This window comes from Homo sapiens, chromosome 16 (assembly GCF_000001405.40).
Source record: "Homo sapiens chromosome 16, GRCh38.p14 Primary Assembly".
In the NCBI taxonomy this organism is placed as follows: Eukaryota; Metazoa; Chordata; class Mammalia; order Primates; family Hominidae; genus Homo; species Homo sapiens.
Genome location: NC_000016.10, coordinates 28,695,363 through 28,713,029, shown reverse-complemented (window position 1 = coordinate 28,713,029; position 17,667 = coordinate 28,695,363). Strand labels below are relative to the sequence as shown.

Genomic DNA, 17,667 nt, shown 5'->3' with positions numbered 1-17,667 from the left:
TATTTTTTGGATTATTTTAGCGGTGTTTTTTGAGGTGGAGTTTTGCTTTTATCGCCCAGGCTGGAGTGCAATGGCGCAATCTCGGCTCACTACAACCTCCGCCTCCAAGGTTCAAGAGATTCTCCTGCCTCAGCCTCCTAAGTTGCTGGGGTTACAGGCATGTGCCACCACAACCGGCTAATTTTTGTATTTTTAGTAGAGACGGGGTTTCACCTTATTGGCCATGCTGGTCTCAAACTCTTGACCTCAAGTAATCAGCCTCCCAAAGTGCTGGGATTACCGGCTTGAGCCACCTGCCCAGCCTGGATTATTTGGTATTTTATGGCAAATGACACTGGTTTCCACCTGTGGAAGTGATACGAAACCATATGCATATTGGCATATACATGTGCAATACATACTTTTAAAACAGTAGCACAAACGTGGCAGATGTTTAAGAAACACCATTCCAGTGGGGCACAGTGGCTCATTCCTGTAACCCCAACACTTTAGAATGCTGGGCGGGAGGTTCACTTGAGCCCAGGAGTTCAGAACCAGTCTAAGCAACACAGTGAGACACCTTCTCTACAAAAAATTAAAAACAATTAGCCTGCTGCGATGGCGTGCACCTGTAGTCCCATCTACTTGAGAGGCTGAGGTGGGAGGATCGCTTGAGATCTGAAGGTCGAGGCAGCAGTGAGCTATGACCCCTCAAAAAAAGAAAAAAAAAAGGAAAAAGAAAAACCATTCTATTGTTCCAAAGGGTAAAAAAAAAAAAATTAATGTACAGAAATGGCGGATGGGTATTTACGTAGAAGTGAACAGGCATAGAAAATGTTTAAGCACCTGCGTACACAGCAGGTGACCAGACTTCAGAGTCGCATCAGGGGGCTCCCAGATACCAATCAAGCATTTTGCATTTCCTTCTGTGAGCAGTGAGAAGTCACTAAGGACTTCTCGGCGGTAAAATGAGAGGAGACAGGTAGAGGCTGTAGACTTAAGGCCAGTTAAGAAGCTGATGCAACAGATCTGGCTTGGGAAACCTCTGTGATTCTATCCCTTGTGCCTGGTGGGTGGCTACCGGCTATCACAGCCCTCTAAGGCTGTCTCTCTCCAACACCGCTCCGATCCTGCAAACTCTGGTCATTGTCCAAACCCACTCTCCCCGCCCTCACCTCCATCCCCTCCCATGTGCACTGCGTTCCACAGCCTGCCTAACCCCGCACTCCCAGAATGGTCACAGCCACAGCCCCCGCAACTCACTGTTTGCCATAGTTGCCTCCGACAGGTTTGGTGACGAGCTCCTCCCCGGACAAGGACGACTCGGACTCGCTGTCCGAACCGGTGGTGAAAAACCGCGACATGGCGACGGCGCGGAGGTGCTACGGCCGGACCTGCGGGGGAGCCAAGGCGTCACCGGCCACGCGAAGAGGCCCGAGCCAACACCTCCCGACGCCCAACCCCTCACCGGCCCCACCCGGACCTCGACCTGGGTCTCCCACCACGAAGCACGAGGCCCAAAAAATACCAACCAGCTGAGCCCGCGAGTCACACCGCAGGGCCCTGACAGCGGAAACGCCGAGAGAGAAGGCGGGTCCTCGCGTCACTTCCGGGAAGCGCCGACTAACTACACTGGGAGACTACAACTCCCAGTGGCCTTCGCGCCATAAGGGGGCGGGGACAAGCCTGAGGGAACCGGGCGCTGAGACCTTGGCTGCAGGCGTCGCGAATCCTACCGCGCGTTGGTGTCGGGATTTAAAACACGAAGATCGGCGGGGCGCAGTGGCTCACGCGTGTAATTACAGCATTAATAGGCATTAATAGTATAGAAGTAGATAATCCTGCCGGGTGCGGTGGCTCACTCACGCCTGTAATCCTAGCACTTTGGGAGACCGAGGCAGGCGGATTACCCGAGGTCGGGAGTTCGAGACCAGCCTGACCAATATGGAGAAACCCCATCTCTACTAAAAATACAAAATTAGCCAGGCGTGGTGGTGCATGCCTGTAAGCCAAGCTACTCGGGAGGCTGAGGCAGGAGAATCGCTTGAACCCGGGAGGCGGAGGTTGTGGTGAGCCGAGATCGAGCCACTGGACTCCAGCCTGGACAACAAAAGCGAAACTCCATCTCAAAAAAAAAAAAGTAGACAATGCTAGCCAGGCACAGTGGCTCACTCCTGTAATTCCAACACTCTGGGAGGCTGAGGTGGGTGGATCACCTGAGGTCAGGAGTTCGAGACCAGCCTGGCCAATATGGCAAAACCCCGTGTCTACTAAAAAATACGAAAATTAGCCTGGCACAGTGTCACCTGCCTGTAATCCCAGCTACGTGGGAGGCTGAGGCTGGAGAATCACTTGAACCCAGGAGGAAGAGATTGCAGTGAGCAGAGATCACACCACTGCATTCCAGCCTGGGTGACAGAGCAAGACTCTGTCTCAAAAAAAAAAAAAAAAAAAAAAAAAGTAGACGATGCTAGATCTTGCAGGTCTTTATAGGCCTGTGGTTTGGAGCCGCCATCGGCAGAGGTTTTAGTGCAAGGGACTGTGTTACATTTTTCAAGGTGGTTTTGATATGGGAGCGGGACAGGGAAGTGCTGGGAAGGGAAGAGCATGCTCTTCCAAAGTGCTGGGATTATAGGCATGAGCTACCACACCTGGCCGTTTTGTTTTTTATTGTGAAATATTTCAACAGACAAGAATAAAGACTATTCCAATGGACATCTATGTACTCACAACCCACCCAGCACCGTCAAAACTTAATATGAGGCTGGGCATGGTGGTTCATGCCTGTAATCCCAACACTTTGGGAGGCAGAGGTGGGCAGATCACTTGAGGTCAGGAATTCGAGACCAGCCTGGCCAACATGGTGAAACCCCATCTCTACTAAAAATACAAAAATTCGCCTGGCATGGTGGCAGATGCCTGTAATTCCAGCTACTCAGGAGGCTGAGGCAGGAGAATTGCTTGAACCCTGAAGGTGGAGGTTGCAGTGAGCCAAGATCGTGCCACTGCACTCCAGCCTGAGCGACAGAGCAAGACTCTGTCTCCAAAAAAAAAAAGTTAAAAAAAAAAACCAAGGGGTTCATTGTACGTCTGTAAATCCATAAATATCTTTTTTTTTTTTTTTTTTGAGATGGAGTTTTGCTCTTGTTGCCCAGGCTGGAGTGCAATGGTATGATCTTGGCTCACTTCAACCTCCGCCTCCCAGTTTCAAGCAATTCTCCTGCCTCAGCCTCCCAAGTAGCTGGGATTTACAGACGTGCACCACCACATCCAGCTAATTTTTGTATTTGTAATAGAGAAGGGGTTTCACCATGTTGTCCAAGCTGGTCTCGAACTCCTGACCTCAGGTGATCCACCCGCCTCGGCCTCCCAAAATGCTGGGATTACAGGCGTGAGCCACCACGCCCAGCTCTCTTTATTTTAAATAATATGTGTACATTTTTACAAAATGAAAATGGTACAACAGAATACACAGGAAGAAAAAATATACAGGAAAAAATGTTTCCTTCCTGCCCTGACCTCATGTTCATCAGCTTTTCTCTCTAGAAGCAAACACAATTGTCAGTTTATAGCGTTATCTTCCAGATGTCACTTTGTGCCCTCTCTCTCCTTATCTCTCTTTGTGTATACACACACACACACACACATACACACACACACACAGAGTTGACTCTTGAAGAATGTGTAGGTCTACGTATATGTGGATTTTATTCAATAAATACAGTCAATCCTCCATACAGGTGGGTTCCACATCTGGAACGAAATGTCAATCAAAAATAACAGTATTCACTGGATTTGAAACCCATGTATACCAAGGGCCCAAATTTTGTAACTACAGGTTCCACAGGGGCAACTGCGGGACTTGAGTATGTACAGGTTTTGGTATCTCCCAGGAATCCTAGAACCAATCCCTTGAGGATACCAAGAAATGACTAGATAGAGACAGAAAGGATATAGATAGATGTATTGTATGTGTGTATGTATATATATATGTGTGTGTGTATATATATATATTCAATATATGTATATGAATTATATAGATCAGGGTATGTGTGTGTGTGTGTGTGCGTCTACCTGGAACATATCTGTCTCTACCATTGTTTCCTGCATCTTATTTCATTATTCATCATATATCTTGCAGCTCATTCTGTATCAGTGCATATGGCTCTGTCTCATTCTCTTTTTTTTTGTTTGGTTTTTGAGACAGAGTCTTGCTCTGTCGCCTAGGCTGGACATAATCTTGGCTCACTGCAACCTCCGCCTCCTAGGTTCAAGCGATACTTCTGCCTCAGCCTCCTGAGTAGCTGGGATCACAGGTGCCTGCCACCACACCTAATTTTTGTACTTTTAGTAGAGATGAGATCTCACCATGTTGGCCAGGCTGGCCTTGAACTCCTGACCTCAAGTGGTCCGCCTGCCTTTGCTTCCCAAAGTGCTGGGATTAAAGGCATGAGCCACCACACCCAGCCTGATTGCCTTTTAAAAGTATTCATAATAGGCTGGGTGTGGTGGCTCACACCCGTAATTCCAGCACATTGGGAGGCTGAGGTGGGTGGATCACCTGAGGTCAGGAGTTCGAGACCAGCTCGACTAACAATGGTGAAACCCCATCTCTGCTAAAAATACAAAATTAGCTGGGTGTAGTGGCACATGCCTGTAATCCCAACTACTTGGGAGGCTGAGGCAGGATAATTGCTTGAACCCAGGAGGTGGAGGTTGCAGTGAGCCGAGATCACGCCATTGCACTCCAGCCTGGGCAACAAGAGTAAAACTCCATTTAAAAAAAAAAAAAAAAGCATAATAACCCCAGAAGGCAGGCCACACTGTTCCACTTTAGAGAGGAGAATGTTGATGTCCTAAAAGGTCAAGTGACCTGTCTAAGGTCAAATCGATAGTTTGCATTCCAACCCAAACATTATTCCACAGCTATCTAAACTGTTGAGAGATGTGTTGTTTTAGAGCCAGACTCCAACAATTTTTGAGTGAATTCAACTTAGTCTTTTTTTTTTCTTTTCGAGACGGAGTCTTGCTCCATCACCTAGGCTGGAGTGCAGTGGCGCGATCTTGGCTCACTGCAAGCTCCACCTCCCGGGTTCATGCCATTCTCCTGCCTCAGCCTCCCGAGTAGCTGGGACTACAGGCAACTGCCACCACGCCCAGCTAATTTTTTGTATTTTTAGTAGAGATGGGGTTTCACCGTGTTAGCCAGGATGGTCTTGATCTCCTGACCTTGTGATCCGCCCACCTCAGCCTCCCAAAGTGCTGGGATTACAGGTGTGAGCCACCGCGCCCGGCCTTTTTTTTCTTTTTTCTTTTTTCTTTTTTCTTTTTTTGCAATTTCTGCTGCCCAGGCTGAAGTGCAGTGGTGTGATTACGGCTCACTGCAGCCTCAAACTCCTGGCCTCAAGCGATCCTCCCACTTCAGCCTCCTGAGTAGCTGAGACAACAGGCACACACCACTACACCCAATTAATATTTTTACTTTTTGTAGAGATGGAGTCTCACTATATTGCCCAGGCTGATCTTGAACTCCTGGCCTTAAGCAATTCTCTAGCATTGGCCTCCCAAAGCTCTGAGATTACAAGACTAAGCCACTGTGCTTGGCCTCAACTTCATTTTGTAAATAGGAAAAATGGGAATGAAGGCAGCTGACTTAAAGAAATCCTAGGTCGGGCATGGTGACTCACACCTGTAATCCCAGCACTTTGGGAGGCCGAGGCGGGTGGATCACCTGAGGTCAGGAGCTCGAGACCAGCCTAGTTGACACCGTGAAACCCCACCTCTACTAAAAATGCAAAAATTAGCCGGGCATGGTGGTGCACGCCTGTAATCCCAGCTACTTGGGAGGCTGAGGCAGGGGAATCGCTTGAACCCAGGAGGCAGAGGTTGCAGTGAGCCAAGATCTTGCCACTGCACTCCAGCCTGGGCGACAGAGCAAGACCTTGTCGCCAAAAAAAAAAAAAAAAAAAAAAGGGAAAGAAAACCTAGTAATTTACCTAATAATTTCTTCCTTTATGAGTGTAGTAGGCTCTGTGACTGGAGACAAACGTAACATGGGTGTATTTAATAGGTGAATTTTGTTAATACCCAGATTCTGATGGGGTCCTTAATGGTCCCAGAGTGGGAACGACACCCTGGAAGAGCTTTGATCAGTCTGGTGTCTCCAGTTCATGTGGGCGTACGTATTTCTCACAGCAGATTGACTCTCTTCATGTGCCTGTAATAACACAGCCAGCAAGCAGGAAGATGATAACCATAACTGGCATTTGAATAACAATTTCAAATGCATAGAGGTGCTTGAAACTCATGAAAACTTATAGGTGGGCAGGAAAAGCAGCTATTACTAACCTCATTTTACAAATGAGAAAAGCAGGACTCTGCAGTGCGGGGGAGGGCTCTGTTGTGACAGCATGAGATTCTGAAACCAGGTCCTCTAACTCGCAGGTCACAGAAGACGCTTCCAAGTATATTATTTTATTGCAGAAGGGGAATGAACTGAGCGGAAGGAGAGGACAGAGCGTGGGAAAAGGGGAGGGAGTGCCATGGGAACCCCTCTGTGGGACAAAATGCTGGGTACCACACTCCCCCTCACTCACGCAACTCCAGCCACTGATATCCCCCCTTTTTCTTTTATTTTTTCCTTTTCTTTCTTTTTTTAATCTTAAAAATTATTATTATTACTATTTGAGAGAGGGTGTCACTCTGTCACCCAGACTGGAGTGCAGTGGTGTGATCATAGGTCACTGCAGCATCAAACTCCTGAGCTCAAGTGATCCTCCCATATCAGCCTCCCGAGTTGGGACTACAGGTGCACGCCACCACGTTGGACTGTTATTTATGTATTTATTTTGAGACAGGGTCTTGCTCTTTCACCCAGGCTGGAGTGCAGTGATACAATCATTGTCCTGGAACTACAGGCGCCCGTCACCACACGAGACTTATTTATTTTTATTTTTTATTTTTTGAGATAGAGTTTTGCTCTGTTGCCCAGGCTGGAGTGCAGTGGTGTGATCTCGGCTCACTGCACCCTCCACCTCCTGGGTTCAAACGATTCTCCTGCCTCAGCCTTGTGAGTAGCTGGAATTACAGGCATGCACCACCACATCCAACTAATTTTTGTATTTTTAGTAGAGACAGAGTTTCACCATGTTGGTCAGGCTGGTCTTGAACTCCTGACCTCAAGTGATCCACCCACCTTGGCCTCCCAAAGTGCTGGGATTACAGGCGTGAGCCACCGTGCCTGGCTGAGATTCATTTTTTAAATTTTTTTAGAGATGGATTCTCGCTATGTTGTCCAGGCTGGTCTCAAACTCCTGGGCTCAAGTAATCCTCCTGCCTTGGCCTCCCAAAGTGTTGGAATTACAGGTGTGAGCCAATGTGCCTGGCTTCAATATCCCCTTTCTAAAATAAATGTCTCAAAAGACTTTGAAATTCAGGCTGGGCATAGTGGCTCATGCCTGTAATCCCAGCACTTTGGGAGGCCGAGGTGGGAGGATCACGAGGTCAAGAGATAGAGACCATCCTGGCCAACATGGTGAAACCCCAACTCTACTAAAAATACAAAAATTAGCTGGGAATGGTAGCGCGTGCCTGTAGTCTCAGCTACTCGGGAGGCTGAGGCAGGAGAATCGCTTGAACCTGGGAGGCGGAGGTTGCAGTGAGCCGAGATCACGCCACTACACTCCAGCCTGGCGACAGAGCGAGACTCCATTTCAAAAAAAAAAAAAAAAAGAAAAGTCAAGACTATGAAATTCACAGATAATATAACTTTCTGATACACACAATTTTATTGTATTTTGCTTTGTGTTTAATTTTCTCAAATAGACCTCAAGTACCTTGAAGACAGGAATGTCTTAGTATCCCCTCAGTGCATTTCACATAGTACATGTTCAATGATATGTTTCTATTATTATTATAAATTTTTCGTTTGGAAACAGAGCCTTGCTGTGTCGCCCAGGTGTGAGTGCAGTGGCACGATTTCTGCTCACTGCAACCTCCGCCTCCAAGGCTCAAGCAATTTTCCTGTCTCAGCCACTGGAGTAGCTGGGATTACAGGCATGCACCACCACACCCAACTAATTTTTATATTTTTAGTAGAGACAGGGTTTCACCATGTTGGCCACGCTGGTCTCAAACTCCTAGCCTCAAGTGATCTGCCTGCCTCGGCCTCCCAGGATGCTGGGATTACAGGCATAAGCCACCACACTCTGCCTATTATTGTAATTATTAAAAGACAACATACATATAGCTAAATGAATCAGCTGCACTAATCAATCACTGGTTTGGTGTCTATCATCATCTATTAGTTTTGCCTGTTTTTTGATTTTTTTTTACTAGAGACAAGATCTCACTCTCTTGCCCAGGCTGGTGTGCAATTGCAAGATCCCAGCTCACTGCAGCAGCCTTGAACTCCTGGGTTTAAGGGATCCTCCTGTCTCAGCCTCCCAAGTAGCCAGGACCACAGGTGTACACCACCGAGTTCAGCTAATGTTTTTTGTGGGGTTTTTGTTTTTTGTAGAGACGGGGGGGGCCTCACTATGTTCCCAGGCTGGTCTCGAACTCCTGGCCTCAAGCAATCATCCTGCCTCAGCCTCCCAAAGCATGGGATTACAAGCGTGAGCCACCACGCCTGGCCAGTTTTGCCGGTTCTTGAGCTTCATATAAATAGAATCATAAGGCATATCCTTTTTTGTACCTGGCTTCTATTGTTGACCATAATACTTATTATGAGATTCATCCGTGTTAAGTGCACCAGTATGGTAGGACATTCTTTTTTGTTTGTTTGTTTGTTTTTTGAGATGGAGTTTTGCTTTTGTTGTCCAGGCTGGAGTGCAATGGCGCAATCTTGGCTCACTGCAACCTCTGCCTCCCGGGTTTAAGCGATTCTCCTGCCTCAGCCTCATGAGTAGCTGGGATTACAGGCATGCACCACCACACCTAGCTAATTTTACAATTTTAGTAGAGACTGGTTTTCTCCATGTTGGTCAGGTTGGTCTCGAACTACTGACCTCCGGTGATCTGCCCACCTTGGCCTCCCAAAGTGCTGGAATTACAGGCGTAAGTCACCGCGCCCAGCCCAGTCATTCTTTTTAAATTCCTGAATGGTTTTCAATTGAATGACGATCGATACCACAATGTATTCATTCTCCTGTAGATTTTTTTTTTTTTGATGGAGTCTCATTGTGTCCTCCATGATGAAGTGCAGTGGCATGATCTTGGCTCACTGCAACCTCCGCCTCCCAGGTTCAAGAGGTTCTCGTGCCTCAGCCTCCCAATTAGCTTAGATTACAGGCGTGCATCATCACACCTGGCTAATTTTTGTATTTTTAGTAGAGATGGGGTTTCACCATGTTTAGTAGAGACCAGGCCAGGCTGGTCTGGAAATCCTGACCTCAGGTGATCCTCCCACCTTGGCCTCCCAAAGTGCTAGGATTACAGGTGTGAGCCACCATACCTGGCCATATTATAAATAAAGCTTGTATCAACATTTTTTTCAATATTTACATCATATGTTTTAAATTTTTATTATTAGGTACAGAGTAGTTTTTGTTATACATCCCTGTTAAATTGAATATTTTATTTTATTTTTTATTTATTTTTTGAGATGGAGTCTCACTCTGTCACCCAGGCTGGAGTGCACTGGCACAATCTCGGCTCACTGTAACCTCCACCCCCAAGGTTCAAGTGATTCTCCTGCCTCAGCCTTCCAAGTAGCTTGGATTACAGGAACGTGGCACCACACCCAGCTAATTTTTGTATTTTTTAGTAGAGACGGGGTTTCGCCATGTTGGACAGGCTGGGACTATTTTATTATTATGAGATGACACTCTTTATCTGCAGTAATACTTTTTGTGAGTCTATTTTTTCTGATACTAATATAGCTTTCCAACTTCATTTTAGTTGGTTTTGGCCTGATGTATTTTTTTATTAATTGCTTTTCAATATTTCTGTATAATAATGATATTTATATACATCTTGAAATAGCATATAGCTAGTAGCTAGTTTTTTTTTTTTTTTTTTTTTTTTTGAGATGGAGTTTCACTCTTGTTGCCCAGGCTGGAGTGCAATGGTGCAGCTCGCTGCAACCTTTGCCTCCCAGGTTCAAGCGATTCTCCTGCCTCAGCCTCCCAAGTAGCTGGGATTACAGGCACACACCATCATGCTAAGCTAATTTTTGTATCTTTAGTAGAGACAGGGTTTCACCATGTTGGCCAGGCTGGAATCGAACTCCTGATCTCAAGTGATCTGAGTGCCTCAGCCTCCCAAAGTGGTGAAATTACAGGCATGAGATACTGTACCTGGCCTATACTTAGCATTTTTATACTTAGAATCATGGTGACTGAGGCACTGCAGTGCAGCTGGTAAGCAATGGATTTTAATGTGTGTGTTGCCTTCAGTAAAGGAATTGTCCAAGTACAGCTCTTGGTAAAGATCCCAACGAAGCAAAATACATCTTCCTTCAATGACCTGAGATTTTAGTCAGCTCAGGCTGCTATAACAAAATACCATAAACAGGGTGGCTTAAAAAACAATATTTATTTTTCACAGTTCTGGAGGCTGGGAAGTCCAAGATTAAGGTGCTGGCAAAACCGATTTGGTGTCTGGTGAGGGCTCTGTTTCTGGTTTGCTCACAGCTGCCTTCTTGCTATATCCCCACTTGGTGGAGAAAGAGATTGCTTGTCTCGTTCTCTTTCTGTGAGGGCATTAATACCATCATGAAGTCTCCCACCCTCATGACGTAATCTAGCCCCAATTACCTTCCAAGGGCCTCACCTTCTCACCTTCAAATGCTATGACATTGGGGATTAGGGCTTCAACATATGCATTTGGCAGGAGAACACAAACATTTAGTTCATACTAATACACGATAGTCGAATTCTTGAAAAATTCAGTGTATATTAAAACCAAGCAAGAAATACTTTGGGTTTAGGCTGGGCGCAGTGGCTCATGCCTGTAATCCCAGCACTTTGGGAGGCTGAGGCGGGCAGATTACCTGAGGTCAGGAGTTCGAGACCAGCCTGGCCAACATGGCGAAACCCTGTCTCTACTAAAAATACAAAAATTAGCTAGGTTTGGTGGTGCATGCCTGTAATCCCAGCTATTCAAGAGGCAGAGGCAGGAGAATCGCTTGAAGCTGGGAGGCGGAGGTTGCAGTGAGCTGAGATCGCGCCACTGCACTCCAGCTTGAGTGACCAAGCAAGACTCTCTATCTAAAACAAAACAAAACAAGCGACTTTGGGTTCATATGTAAAATGAAGTTAGATTCTTAGCACATATTGTTGGATGTCTGGCGGGGATATTAAAAAAACCACTCAAACGTAGAAGAATCTCTCTTCATCCAGGACCATACTGTGCATGGCAGGATGGCTTTGCTCTCTCCCTCTAAGGACATTGTCACATTCACAGTGAGATCAAAGCCCCCACAAACAAGCTTCCAAAATGGCCCTAGGGGGCAGTACTACCTCACTGAGAACCACTGTTCAGGGAGTTAGCTGGGTCGCAGAGGCAAAATGTTGGACTACAGCGTGTGGGGCCACACTGAGCGATGATGAAGAGGAGAGGCATCCCAACACCCACCGGGCTAACCTCTTCCGCTGGCAGCACCAAGCCCGGGTGGAGCTCATGGAGCAGTTCCAGAAGGAGAAGGAGGAACTGGACAGGGGCTGCTGGGAGTACAAGTGCAAGATGGCCGAGTGCCAGAGGAAGCTGAAGGAGCTGGAGGTGTCAGAGGGTGCCAGGGTGGAGGTGGAGTGGCTACACGAGGAGCTGAGCTGGGAGCAAAAGCTGGAGGAGATGCCCAAGAAAAAGAGCATGACCTGGAACGTGGACACGCTCAGCAAAAGCAGTTTCAGGCTGGGTGAGGTGGCTCACACCTGTAATCCCAGCACTTTGGGAGGCTGATGCGGGGCGATCACTTGAGGTCAGGAGTTTGAGACCAGCCTGACCAACATGGCGAAACCTCGTCTCTACAAAAATACAAAAAGTAGCTGAGCGTGGTGGTGGGCGCCTGTAATCCCAGCTGCTCGGGAGGCTGAGGCAGGAGAATCGCTTGAACCCGGGAGGCGGAGGCTGCAGTGAGCCAAGATCATGCCATTGCACACCAGCCTGGGCGACAGAGCAAGACTCCGTCTCAAAAAAAAAAAAGAAAAGACGGCTTTAGCAGGAGCATGGTGAACACCAAGCCTGATGAGAAGATGGTCAACTACCTGGTCATCTGGTGTGCTGATCTAGAGGTGCAGGAGAAATGCGCCCTCATGGAGCAGGTGGTCCACTAGGCAATTGTCACGCAGTTCAACCTGGTGTTGGTCAGGAGCCGGAAGGGGTCCCCCGGGTCTGCTTCTGGCAGTTCTTCACTGAGATTCAGACGGCTGACTGCTAGTGCATGGAGAGCTTCAAGGACGAGCTGGAAGCCTCCACGGAGCCTGTGCGGGGCTGCGCCAAGCTGCGCGTCTAGAAAGCAGGTGGAGCAGGAGTACTAGGAGGAGGAGCTCAAGAAGCAGCTTGGCCCTGATGGCCTGGAACCCGTGGAGGTGACGAGTTCCCCCCTGAGGAACTCCAAAAGGGCTTCAATGCGAAGGACGCGCAAATGCAGCAAGATGGACCCCACCAAGGCCAAGTTCCCCATGCAGCAGTGTATCGACGCCGGCCTCCGGGTCCCCAACTCTGAGGTCAGCGAGGCCAAGGAGGGAGAGGAGGAGTGTTCAGGGACCGGCTGCTGGAAGCTGTTCCCAAGACAGGCGGGGATGTCAGTGCGTGACCCACCCCAGCTGCAGCTGCCACCTGTGTGCAAGCCCCTAGGCGCCCCTTTTCAGAAAACAAAAATAGACACCATCTCCCCAGCTCCTGGCTTCCTCCACTTCCGCTGCTCCCCCTAGCCCTGGGGGCCTGCCAGGCCTTCCCTGCCCTCTCCCCCTCCCCGCCCTCTCCACTGTCCCCACTCTCCAGCACCCATTCAAGTCTCTGCTTTGAGTCAAGGGACTTCACTGCCCACAGCGCCCCATCAGCATCATGCCAAAGGCCCAGGGGCCCGGGGAGGGGCAGAGGTCGCCAGGCTGGTCCGCCAGGTAGAGGGGAGGGTCCCCAGCCACTAGGTGGCTCAGGTCACCGGGTTCTGTTTCCACTGTTCATCTGCTGTCTGTGTCTTCTATTTGGCAAACAGCAATGATGTTCTAAAAAGGATTTTAGATATTAAAAGAAAAAAAAAAGAGGCTGGATGAGGTGGCTCACACCCGTAATCCCAGCACGCTGGGAGGCTGAGGAGGGTGGATCACTTGAGGTCAGAAGTTGAAGACCAGCCTGGCCAACATGGTGAAACCCCATCTCTACTAAAAATACAAAAATTAGCCGGGCATGGTGGCACCTGCCTGTAGTCCCAGATACTTGGTAGGCTGAGGCAGGAGAATCACTTGAACCTGGAAGATGGAGTTTGCAGTGAGCTGAGATAGTGCCACTGCACTCCAGTCTGAGCAACAGAGCGAGACTCCGTCTCCAAAAAAAAAAGTTGGAGGATTCACATTTCCTATTTTCATGCCCTCTCCCTCTCCCTCTCCCTCTCCCTCTCCCTCTCCGTCTCCGTCTCCGTCTCCGTCTCCCTCTCCCCACGGTCTCCCTCTCATGCGGAGCCGAAGCTGGACTGTAGTGCTGCCATCTCGGCTCACTGCAACCTCCCTGCCTGATTCTCCTGCCTCAGCCTGCCGAGTGCCTGCGATTGCAGGCACGCGCCGCCACGCCTGACTGGTTTTGGTGGAGACGGGGTTTCGCTGTGTTGGCCGGGCCGGTCTCCAGCCCCTAACCGCGAGTGATCCGCCAACCTCGGCCTCCCGAGGTGCCGGGATTGCAGACGGAGTCTCGTTCACTCAGTGCTCAATGGTGCCCAGGCTGGAGTGCAGTGGCGTGATCTCGGCTCACTACAACCTACACCTCCCAGCCGCCTGCCTTGGCCTCCCAAAGTGCCGAGATTGCAGCCTCTGCCCGGCCGCCACCCCGTCTGGGAAGTGAGGAGTGTCTCTGCCTGGCCGCCCATCGTCTGGGATATGAGGAGCCCCTCTGCCTGGCTGCCCAGTCTGGAAAGTGAGGAGCGTCTCCGCCCGGCCGCCATCCCATCTAGGAAGTGAGGAGCGCCTCTTCCCAGCCGCCATCACATCTAGGAAGTGAGGAGCGTCTCTGCCCGGCCGCCCATCGTCTGAGATGTGGGGAGCGCCTCTGCCCCGCCGCCCCATCTGGGATGTGAGGAGCGCCTCTGCCCGGCCGAGACCCCGTCTGGGAGGTGAGGAGCGTCTCTGCCCGGCCGCCCCGTCTGAGAAGTGAGGAGACCCTCTGCCTGGCAACCACCCCGTCTGAGAAGTGAGGAGCCCCTCCGCCCGGCAGCTGCCCCGTCTGAGAAGTGAGGAGCCTCTCCGCCCGGCAGCCACCCCATCTGGGAAGTGAGGAGTGTCTCCGCCCGGCAGCCACCCCATCTGGGAAGTGAGGAGCGTCTCCGCCCGGCAGCCACCCCGTCCGGGAGGGAGGTGGGGGGGGTCAGCCCCCCGCCCAGCCAGCCGCCCCATCCGGGAGGGAGGTGGGGGGTCAGCCCCTCCGCCTGGCCAGCCGTGCCATCCGGGAGGGAGGTGGGGGGGTCAGCCCCCCGCCTGGCCAGCCATGCCGTCCGGGAGGGAGGTGGGAGGGTCAGCCCCCCACCCGGCCAGCCGCCCCGTCCGGGAGGTGAGGGGCGCCTCTGCCCGGCCGCCCCTACTGGGAAGTGAGGAGCCCCTCAGCCTGGCCAGCCACCCCGTCCGGGAGGGAGATGGGGGGGTCAGCCCCCCCACCCGGCCAGCCGCCCCGTCCGGGAGGTGAGGGGCGCCTCTGCCCGGCCGCCCCTACTGGGAAGTGAGGAGCCCCTCTGCCCGGCCAGCCGCCCCGTCCGGGAGGGAGGTGGGGGGGGTCAGCCCCCCCGCCCGGCCAGCCGCCCCGTCCGGGAGGTGAGGGGCGCCTCTGCCCGGCCGCCCCTACTGGGAAGTGAGGAGCCGCTCTGCCCGGCCAGCCGCCCCGTCCGGGAGGGAGGTGGGGGGGGTCAGCCCCCCCGCCCGGCCAGCCGCCCCGCCCGGGAGGTGAGGGGCGCCTCTGCCCGGCCGCCCCTACTGGGAAGTGAGGAGCCCCTCTGCCCGGCCAGCCGCCCCGTCCGGGAGGGAGGTTGGGGGGTCAGCCCCCCGCCCGGCCAGCCGCCCCGTCCGGGAGGGAGGTGGGGGGGGTCAGCCCCCCTGCCCGGCGAGCCGCCCCATCCGGGAGGTGAGGGGCGCCTCTGCCCGGCCACCCCTACTGGGAAGTGAGGAGCCCCTCTGACCGGCCACCACCCCGTCTGGGAGGTGTGCCCAACAGCTCATTGAGAACGGGCCAGGATGACAATGGCGGCTTTGTGGAATAGAAAGGCGGGAAAGGTGGGGAAAAGATTGAGAAATCGGATGGTTGCCGTGTCTGTGTAGAAAGAAGTAGACATGGGAGACTTTTCATTTTGTTCTGCACTAAGAAAAATTCCTCTGCCTTGGGATCCTGTTGATCTGTGACCTTACCCCCAACCCTGTGCTCTCTGAAACATGTGCTGTGTCCACTCAGGGTTAAATGGATTAAGGGCGGTGCAAGATGTGCTTTGTTAAACAGATGCTTGAAGGCAGCATGCTCGTTAAGAGTCATCACCAATCCCTAATCTCAAGTAATCAGGGACACAAACACTGCGGAAGGCCGCAGGGTCCTCTGCCTAGGAAAACCAGAGACCTTTGTTCACTTGTTTATCTGCTGACCTTCCCTCCACTATTGTCCCATGACCCTGCCAAATCCCCCTCTGTGAGAAACACCCAAGAATTATCAATAAAAAAATAAATTAAAAAAAAAAAAACTCAAATAAAGTTTGCACTTTAGGAATGCAAAAAAAAAAAAAAAAAAAAAATTAGCCAGGCGTGGTGGCGCATGCCTGTAATCCTAGCTACTCAGGAGGCTGAGGCAGCAGTATCTCTTGAACCAAGGAGGTGGAGGTTGCAGTGGGCTGAGATCACCCCATTGCGCTCTAGACTGGGCAACAGGAGTGAGACTCTGTCTCAAAAAAAAAAAAAAAAAGATAGTAGTGTGCATGCTATAAAAAAGAATCCCAGCCTCTGTGCGGGGTAAAAAACCCAAACCATTCTTTCTGGGGTGTGGTCTCTCCAGTGGTGCCTTAACTGAGTCTTTATTTTTTTGAGATAGAGTCTTGCTCTGTTGCCCAGGCTGGAGGGCAGTGGCATGATCTTGGCTCACTGCAACCTTCACCTCCCAGATTCAAGTGATTCTCCTGCCTCAGCCTCCAGAGTAGCTGGTATTACAGGCATGCGCCACCACGCCTGGCTAATTTTCATATTTTTAGTGGAGATGGGGTTTTACATGTTGGCCAGGCTGGTCTCAAACTCCTGACCTCAAGTGATTTGGCCTCCCAAAGTGCTGGGATTACAGGTGTAAGCCACCACATCTTGCCTTAACTGAGTCTTTAATACATCATTGCACCACACTAGGGGTCATGTTGATTTCTTCTGCTGTCTAAAGATACCACATGTGAGGCAGCAGCTGCAATTGGAGTCACCATCTAAATGAGTTTCCCATAGTCCACAGTCATTCTCTAAGATCCATCCAACCAGCATATGCCAAACGCCTGCCCATTCAAGTCTTTTTTTTTTTTTTTTTTTTAGACACAGTTTCGCTCTTTTGCCTAGGCTGGAGTACAGTGGTATGATCTCAGCTCACTGAAGCCTCTGCCTCCCAGGTTCAAGGGATTCTCCTGCCTCAGCATCCTGAGTAGCCAGGATTACAGGCACCTGCCACCACACTCGGCTAATTTTTGTACTTTTAGTAGAGATAGGGTTTCACCATGTTGCCCAGGTTGGTCTCGAACTCCTGACGTCAGGTGATCCACCCGCCTCGGCCTCCCAAAATGCTAGGATTACAGGCCTGAGCCACCCCACCTGGCCCCTTGTAAGTCTTTGAGGGTGGCACTAGTCTGTGCGACTCTCCAGGGATGTGATAATGCTTCTGGTTAACTGTCTTTTTAAAATTTTTTTTCTTTGAGACAGAGTCTCCCTCTGTTGCCCAGGCTGGAGTGCAGTAGGATGATCTTGGCTCACTGCAACCTCTGCCTCCTGGGTTCACGCCATTCTCCTGCCTCAGCCTCTTGAGTAGCTAGGACTACAGGTGCCCGCCATCACACCTGGCTAATTTTTTGTATTTGTAGTAGAGATGGGGTTTCATCGTGTTAGCCAGGATGGTCTCAATCTCCTGACCTCGTGATCCGCCTGCCTTGGCCTCCCAAAGTGCTGGGATTACAGGTGTAAGCCACTGCGCCCAGCCCTCTGGTTAACTGTCTTGACAGGAAGTGGAAGTTACAGGAACTTTCCCTTAGCCCTTTCCACCATGATTCTCTCACTCCATGGGTGGGAGAGCCAGTGTGGAGATTTGTCAGTTGCCATAGATGGCTATTCCTATTATACTCTCAGGAATTTGGAAATAACCACAGGGTGGGACCATAGATCAACGGAGCCCTCTGTGAGTTGGGGCTGAGCTAAGACTCCATCTAGCACCTGACCATCTATCTTTAAGCCCCTACTTTTAGTGATGAGCCACAGTGGCATTTTGGATCCTCAGGACTTGGCGTTAATTCAGAGCCAATGTCTAGGAATCCTCAAAAGGTTGGGT

General features: G+C 50.6%; 1 protein-coding gene and 1 pseudogene across 8 annotated transcripts in view; one reads left to right on the top strand and one right to left on the bottom strand.

Annotated features, from left to right (window-relative positions):
- Positions 1 to 17,667, bottom strand: part of EIF3C (eukaryotic translation initiation factor 3 subunit C) — a 47,173-nt gene that overhangs the window by 22,701 nt on the left and 6,805 nt on the right. For 2 of the 8 annotated variants that reach the window (XM_047434827.1, XM_017023814.3), the window contains exons 2-3: positions 1,512 to 1,711; positions 1,243 to 1,373 (exon numbers count right to left, since the gene is read on the bottom strand). In XM_047434827.1, coding sequence (XP_047290783.1) covers positions 1,243 to 1,343 — 101 coding nt within the window. In that variant the 5' untranslated portion in view covers positions 1,344 to 1,373; positions 1,512 to 1,711. Of the gene's footprint in view, positions 1 to 1,242; positions 1,712 to 17,667 lie in introns of those variants that run through there. The other 6 variants (XM_047434828.1, NM_001037808.2, NM_001286478.1 and 3 more) reach the window with 6 other exon arrangements.
- On the top strand, positions 11,464 to 11,831 carry CDC37P1 (cell division cycle 37 pseudogene 1; annotated as a pseudogene).